Source organism: Homo sapiens, chromosome 6, assembly GCF_000001405.40.
Source record: "Homo sapiens chromosome 6, GRCh38.p14 Primary Assembly".
In the NCBI taxonomy this organism is placed as follows: domain Eukaryota; kingdom Metazoa; phylum Chordata; class Mammalia; order Primates; family Hominidae; genus Homo; species Homo sapiens.
Window position 1 is genome coordinate 53,637,717 of NC_000006.12, and position 8,645 is coordinate 53,646,361.

General features: G+C 40.7%; 1 annotated feature.

Moving 5' to 3' along the window:
* Positions 5,755-6,049: an enhancer, noted in NCBI's record as "tiled region #10125; HepG2 Activating DNase matched - State 5:Enh, and K562 Activating non-DNase unmatched - State 21:Repr". NCBI's record gives its function as "activates a minimal TATA promoter and a strong SV40 promoter by Sharpr-MPRA in HepG2 and K562 cells {active_cell/tissue: HepG2 | K562}" and the evidence as "EXISTENCE:reporter gene assay evidence [ECO:0000049][PMID:27701403]".

Sequence of the window (8,645 nt, forward strand, 5' to 3'; positions counted from 1 at the left end):
TTGATGGGCTCTTAGGTTGATTCCATGTCTAGGCTATTGTGAATAGTGGCACAATGAACATGGGAGTGCAGATATCCTTTCCACATACTGATTTCATTTCCTATGGATATATACCCAGAAGAAGCATCGCTAGATCATATGGTAACTCTATTTTAATTTTTTGAGGAAGCTCAAAATTTACATTTTCACCAACAGTATGCAAGCATTCCTATTTCTCTGCATCCTTGCCAATACTTGTCTATCATCTTTCGATAGTAGTCATTCTAGCGAGTATGAGGTGATATCTCATTGTGATTTGAATTGGAATTTCTCTGATGATTAGTAAAGCTGAGCATTTTTTAATATGTCTGTTGGCCACATGTATGTCTTCTTTTGAGAAATGTCTATTCAGGTCCTTTGCCCATTTTTAAAATGGGTTATTTGTATTCTTGCTTTTGAGCTGTTTGAGTTCCTTATATATTTTGGATATTAACCCCTTATCAGATGTATGGCTTGCAAATATTTTCTCCCATTCTGCATGTTGTCTCTTTACTCTGTTGATTGTTTCCTTTGCTGTGCAGAAGCTTTTTAGTTTGACATAATCGTGTTTGTCTATTTTTGCTTTTGCTGCCTGTTATTAATCTTTTTAATAACCTTGTAATGACCAAGTATTATTAGCATGATCACCACAGCATCCCACTTACAGACAATGGATCAGAAGTGGAGAGGTTGTTAATAGTAGCAGGGCTGAGATTTGGATGCACACAGACTGCCTTGGGGGCCTGGGCTCTTACCCATCAGTCTAAACTGAGTGACTTTCAAGTGAGGGAGACATTTCTGGTGGCTGGGATCAGTGGTGAATGGCATTTTGAACTGAGCTTAGGGATGGGAGGAATTTCTACAGGTAGAGATGTGGAATCTCATTGTGTGCCCAGAATGGCTAGAGCAGAAGAACAGAAGGCTCCCACGGTGTGCAGACCATTGAAAGAAAGTTGGAAGCCCCAGGCACAAGGAGGAGAGGTGCTCAGTCAGGAAGTGCTCTCTTCTTTTCAATTTTAGAGGCATGATTGTTTCTCCCAGTTGAATACTGAAAAGGATGAACTTTACTGTTGAGCATCTGTGATTGGAATAAATATATCCTTATCTGTTCTGGGCAGCTTTCAAAATAATTTGTTAGAAAGCACCACTGTCATTTCTACATGGTGCTCTGGGTACTATGTGTGTAAAGGAAGTCTGAAGACAAGCACTGGAGCTCAAATCCTCATTCAGCCATGCTACCTTGGGCTTCTTACTTCACGCTCTTCAGTCTCCTGCAATCCTGGAGTAATAATGCATGCCCCAGCTTATTCTTCAAAGAAATCAGGAAGCCAAAGAGGGGACAAATGTGCAGAGCTTCAGAAGAAATGTGCCATGGGACTCTAAGGAATCACATAGTTTTATTACTCTGATTAATTTCCTATTTTAATGCATAGTAGTAATTAATATTGGCCACAGACAACTCAAGATAGAAATGTCATGACCTAGATGAATGTGTAGAATACCCTGGTGTTTTCAGAGTGTTTTCACCTACATTATCTAGTTTAATCTTTACAACTGTCCTATGAAATAAGCAGGGTGGTTATGATTCATTGTTATGTTTACAAATGTGGAAACTGAGGCCCAAACCATTTGTTTAGCATATGTTGGATCTAGGTACAAAATTCCAGTCTTCCAATTCCCAGTTTAAACTGCTTTCCAAAGGCCACAGAAGAGGCAATTAGGTCATAGCACTTGCTAAATTTCTCGGCAAAATTCGAGAGGCAAGGGTATAGACTTTATTATACTGCTTTCTGAACACAGTACACAATCCGCAATAATCCCGAATTTCTAAATCTGTAAAAAAAAAATCGACTCAGAATTTTTCCCTTGCTTTAACTCCTCCAGAGAGAATCTTTCTGCAGCAATCCCATGAGGCTCTGTGCATATCCCTGTAATTACAGGTATTACATCATAGAGCAATAATTTGTTTACATGTCTGTTTCCCCAGCCTCTCCTTCTTCACTTCCCCCTACTCCCAGAGACAGTGAGAAAAGGTCTATTCATCTTTGGAACTCCAGCATCTCACAGGTTGCTAGACATAACAAAAGTTCAAGAAATTTATCTATCTATCTATCTATCTATCTATCTATCTATCTATCTATCTATCTAGACTCCTGTACATCCACAGCCACAGAAGTTTGCCTGCATTATCTCTACTTAAAAGTCATTATGTTTCTTTTAAGTTGAACTCCTGTTATTTAATTGATGCTACATTTGTTGTTGTTGAGGCTTGATAGTATTATAATTTCTAAGGTAGTGTTTTTAAAATCTAGGTAATACAATTATAGAATAGTTTTCCATATATATGATATATATGGAAAATATTTTATTTCACTGCATAAAACAAAACCACTTAAACAGCAAAGAATACACTAAATGAAGTAACAAAGGTTAAAAATAAATTACAAAATAAAAAACAAATGATTGCAAAATGTCAACTCCCCTAAATTAATATATGCATTTAAATCTAGCCTACTAAAAATATTACAAAGTTTAGTTGACAGTGTTGTTATTGTTTAAGATTTTAAAAAATGTATATATGTGCATTGTTTTTAAAAACAATCAAAATGTATTGAAGAAAATATTAATTTATCGTATTGATTTCTAATAACAGCTCATAGAATATAGAAATGGTCTTGATTCTTTCAAACGTCTCCACCTGGTCATGTCAAAGTTCAATGATCATTTAAATAATGATGGACTTTCTATTTCACTAAAGATACAAATTTTTTTTTTTTTTTGAGACAAGGTCTCACGGGTTGCCCAGGCTGGAGTGTAATTGTGCAATCAGGACTCACTGTAGTCTTGGCTTCATAGGTTCAGGTGATTCACCCACCTCAGCCTCCCAAGTAGCTGGGACTACAGGCATGCACCACCATGCCTGGCTAATTTTTTGTAGAGACAGGGTTTTGCTATGTTGCTCAGGCTAGTCTTGAACTCCTGGACTCAAGTGATCCTCCACCTCAGCCTCCCAGAGTGCTGGGTTTATAGGCATGGGCCACTATGCCTGGCTAAAAATACAATATTTATGTGATCTAATTCTGTAGGGTCCACTGAAGTAGAAGTAATGTATTTATAAAAATAGTATTTAAAGCATTATATTTTAAAAATACTATCTTAAAAATTATAACTTTATCAAACCTCAATAAGAGGAAATATAGCATCAATTAAATGATAGCAGTCCAACTAAAAAGAGATAAAACAACTTTTAAGGAGAGAGAACACAGGCAAATCTGTGGTGGTGGATATGCAAAAGTTCATTGCTTTGAAAATGGAATCAAACTGCATGTGACCCTAAATTCCCGAGTACGGTTGAAGAGCAGGGACATGCGTGTTCTACTGCTGCTAGACAAATCACCACAGTTTAGTGTATTATAGCAGCACATGTTTATTATCTCATAGCTCTGTAGGTCAGAAGTCTGGGTTGGCTTGACTGGTTTCTCTGCTTCAGGTTTCACCAGGCTATAATCTGTGTTGACAGCATGGGTTATAGGGAGATTCACTCAAATTGTGGGCACAATCCAGTTTCTTGTAGTTGTAGGACTGAGGTATCCATTTCCTTGCTGGCTGTCACCTGGGAACTTCTATTAGCTTTGAGAGGCCTCTTTTTAGCTTTGTATCTGGGCAACTGTATCTCAGAGCCAGTGATTGCACATCAAATCCATCTCACACTTGAAAGCTCTTAGATTTCCTCTTCTGCTGCACGTCTGACTTTAGCTGGAAAAACTTCTCTGCTTTTAAGGGCTCAAGTGATTAGACTGGCCCCATCTGGTTAATCCAGGATAATCTCTGCACCTTGAGATCCACAACCTTAATTACAAAAAGTCCCTCTTGCCATGTAGAATAACATATGCACAGGACCCAGAGAATAGGGTATTGGACCTGTGGGGAAGGGGTGGCATTAATTGGCCTACTAGGAGGCTACTTGGGAAACCTGGATTTAAACTCTGCTTTAGCCAATTTTAGTCTTTCTATTTTCTTAGCTCCTTGAGCTTCTTTCTTCTTAGTCAAGAGAGCTGATAAAAAGAAGTTGTTCCTTGCAATTCTTTCTTCAAGTCTTTATTCATCTTCCTGTAGGAGTTGTGTTTTCCATTTATATTGGTGATGTATTCCTATGTTTCAAAAAGTTTATTCTCTATTTCTAAGAGGTAAACTATCTCCTAAATTGATTTTCTGCCAAGTTTCATGACATATTCTCTGTGTGTGTGTGTGTGTGTGTGTGTGTGTGTGTGTGTGTGTGTGTGACAGAATCTTGTTCTGTCACTCAGGCTGGAGTGCCATGGTGCCATCTCCGCTCACCGCAACCTCCACCTCCTGGGTTCAAGTGATTCTCTTGCCTCGGCCTTCTGAGTAGCTGGGATTACAGGCACACGCCACCACACCTGGCTAATTTTTGTATTTTTAGTCAAGACAGAGTTTCACCATGTTGGCCAGGCTGGTCTTGAACTCCTGACCTCAAGTGATCCGCCCGCCTTGACCTCCCGAAGTGCTGGGATTACAGGTGTGAGCCACTGAGCCCGGCCCACCTGAGGCATTTGAATCTCACCTTTAAGCTCTGAATTTTCAGACTACATGTTCAGTTTGGTGACTTTTTATTAGATCTGTAAGCTCTTCATTTTATTTTCTTCACATAATTTAAAAATAACCTTGTTTTTCTCCTTCAAGCCTGTTAGAGGAAACATTTATGTTAGCAGCATCAGTGAGTCTCTTCACACTGAGTCCTGGTTGATAGTCTATGTGGTTTCCATTTTCTGATTCACTGTCTTTGTCTCATTCCAAGTTGCTGTCATCCATGTACTCTCCTAAATAGAGCAGGCAAATTTATTGTTTTCAGCACAGTTTCCGGCAGAGATTTTAACTGGCTGTCTTTATTATTTACAACCAGTTTCATTCATGTGTTTTAAGTTTTTTAGCATTTTATTCTTGTTCTTTGATTCCTGAACTCTTTCTTTTCATCTCAGAGCTTCTTGGGAATGTCATTTTAGGCTTCCGCGAAGGTGAGCATTTTCATCCAAATCACCCATTATTGCTGTCTAAAGTTGTTCTACATTCTTCTGAGACGCCTTTAAGGTATTTGTGGTGTCAGTCACTTGGGATTGGAGTGATTTTGCTGTATCTTCCAGTGACTGTGTCTTTCCTTTAAGGTGCACCATCCTCATTTATGAAATAAAAGCTTATTAGTCTCGGTTTTCTATGTCGTGAAGGTCTACTGTCCCCTCAAGTGAAGAGATGGACTTACTCAGATTCTCATCAAGTGCTACCCAACACAGCGCTTGTAACATCAGAGGATTGGCGTTCACTGAGAATGACTTGAAGGCTTCTTAGTCTGGTGAAATCAAGTCTATGTTCTCCCTGACTTTACCATATTCTGTGACCCAGGCAGAAAATCGTTTGGCCAGCTCTTTTCCCCTCCTTAAAGTATGTTGGGTCTTTATTATAAAAACAGTCACAGTCCAGGCATGGTGGCATGTACCTATAGTCCCAACTACTTGGGAGGTTCAGTTGAGCCTGGAGGTTGAGGACACAGTCAGCAGAGGATAGCACTACTGCACTTGAGCCTGGGTGACAGAGTGAGACCCTGTCACAAACAAACAAAACAAACAAAAAACAGTCATAGCAGCAGATACTAGAATCTCTGGGAAGTCTAAAAAGAGTAGAGTGCTCTCTCTAGCATTCAGACACTAGCAGAGCACGGCACAGATACTCAGGACTGCTGATTTTTGAGGCAGTCAGCAAGCTCTCCACGGTTTTAATGAGTACTGCAGCTCTGCCCCTGGTTGCCTGTATTCTGTGAGCCACAGCCAACCACACTGAACCTTGCTGAGTGTTCTGTCTTTGACCCAAACATGTGACTAAGCAAAAGGCATCAGTGGGGCTGGGAGAGGGGGAGGCCAGGCTTTATAAAGTAGTGCTCTGTAACTTTGCTCTACCCACTGCACAAATGGAAAGAGATAATGTTTGTACAATGCATTAGGGAAAAATGGAAAAGGCCGGCCACAGCCAGAGGAACCAGCCTGTGAGCTCTGGCCACTCTAGGCCCTATTTGGCCCTACATTAAACCTGGGAGACATCAAAGCAGTGCTGTGTAATACCTGTTCTCTGCATAGCGCATGTCAGGGAGTGACAGTGGCACATGCTGCAGCGGAGGACCCATGTGCCTAAAGCCCTGGGCAAGGTCATTCTTCCCTTGATTTAAAGTTTTCTTCTGCAGCCTGGAACCCTGATCTTCCTGCAGAGGTCACAGGGCTCTCCTTCCCCTCAAGACTCCCTCTTTCTTTTGTATTTGGTCAGTGCCGGCAGGCAGGGGCAGAGGACTGGATGGCTTCATCAAAGGCACTAATTTATCAAGTGGGATTTTAATTTAAGAATTCAGGGGGAATGATGGAAATTGGCAATGCCTTAACATTTCATGGATTTTCGGTGGAGCTAGTTTGTCCCTGTTCAAAACAAGCAGTCCCACATGGGGAGGCTCCCCTCCAATAGTAACTCTTTCCGTTTGTCCATTTGTGGCCCTGCCATCTCCAGCAGGCTCCCAAAGCTGTCCCAGGATCAGTCTCCATTACACCTCACCATCTTCAGAAATGTGGCTCTGTGGAGTGCCTCCAAAGCAGGAGCCGGTCCTTCTTTCAGCTGAATTTGCCACCCCTTATTTCTTTATGCAATATCTCACTCTCCTTGATATGGCTTGGTTATGTCCTCACCCAAATCTCATCTTGAATTGTAGTTCCCATAATCCCCGGGGGAAGGATCCGGTGGGAGGTAGTTGAATGATGGGGGCAGTTCTGGTGATAGTGAGTGAGTTCTCACGAGATCTGATGGTTTTATAAGGGGCTTTTCCCCCTTTTGCTCAGCACTTCTTGTTGCTGCCGCCATGTGAAGAAGGATGTACTTGCTTCCCCTTCAGCCATGGTTGTAAGTTTCCTGAGGCCTCCCCAGCCATGCTGAACTGTGTGAGTCAATTAAACCTCTTTCCTTTATAAACTACTCAGTCCCAGTTATGTCTTTATTAGCAGCATGAGAATGGACTACTGCGCTCCAAGTGTCTCTGGAAGACTCAGGCCCAGAGATTCACTGTCCATCTCCAAGGACTCTGCATTGAGTGACTTGTCCTCAGTATTTTTACCCATGAGGGAAATGAAACACCTTCAATGGAGACTGGTCTGGGGTTCCGAAGGGCACCAGGGATTGGGCTGCAAGGGTTCTGCTTCCAGGAGTCCCTGTTTATCTCTCATTTTTGAGTCAGAAAAAGGCCCCTGGGTATCTGTGTGTAGGCTCTACCTTCTCAGGTTTCCCCGTGTCTCTGAAAACATGGCTGCCCATGAGAAGTATTTAAAGAAATGAACTTTACCTATTAACTTATTTAGCTCTCATATGAGACAAGGTGATGTAATCATAATGGCTCTTAATTTCAGAATGCAAGCATAAGACCATATATTTTACACACACACACACACACGCAGAATATATGTATATATGCACACACTCACACTTAAATGATGTGTGTGTGTGTGTGTACTTAGTAAGCACTGAATAAATGCTTACTAGCTAAATGATGAAGCTAGTCCTAACCTGTTTTTGAAGAATTGGCAATTATAGAGAAGATGCATGCAATTTAAAAAATTTTAATGGGGACATAGCTATAGAGATATCAATCTTTTGAGTTTTTTTTTTTTGAGAAATGGAAAGTGTTGGTTGCATAACTCCTTCCACCTGTAATGTGTCTTAACAATTTAATTTTTGGCTTGCAGCAAGTTTGGAAAAGTCCTAGTTATCATGGTTGTGTACTTTAATGTGCTTCCCTCTAGTGATTACTGGGGTAAGGGAAAGTGTTTTGCATGCAGTAGATGCTTAATAAGTATTTGCTGATTAAATAAATGAGTAATATTGGAATAGAGATCAGCAAGCAGTAGGTCATGATGGTTTTATTGTTTCATTCACTCATTCACTTATTTACTTCACACACAAAAAATTGATCTCCTGCTATACACCAGGCATGACTCTAGACACCGGAGGTACATCTGTGAACGAGACAAAATTTTCACCTTTAAGGATGATATTCTAAAAGAGATGGCAGAACATAAATCAACAGGAAAATATCCAGAGATGGTAAGCTATGATGGCACGTAAGCATGGCGAGATTTGAACAAGGGAGGAAAGGCCACTGGGCTGGAGTTGTTGAAAGTTACAGCCTAGGCCAGAAGCACAGTGCTGAAGCCTGAAGAGGGCAGAAAAAAATATCCCAACCACTTGCTTCTGCCCTCTGACCTCCTTCTGATACCTCCCGTTGGATGAATAAAATGTTCAGCCAAAGAGCCTGAGTCTGGATGATGTAGTCCCTAGGGGACGGAGCACAGAGCAGGGCAGAGAAAGACAGAATATGATCAGGGGCATGAGGCTGGGAAATAATTATGTCTAATGAACATTTGTTAAACAACAAAGGATTCTTTTGGCATACAGAATTTTCTTTGCTACTTATATGCAGAATTGTAATGAAATAAAGCATTTTTCAGTTTGGAACTCTGCAAAAAATGGAAACGTTTCATTAATATTGCAGAATAAAACTTGAGAGACAGATTACCACCATTTAG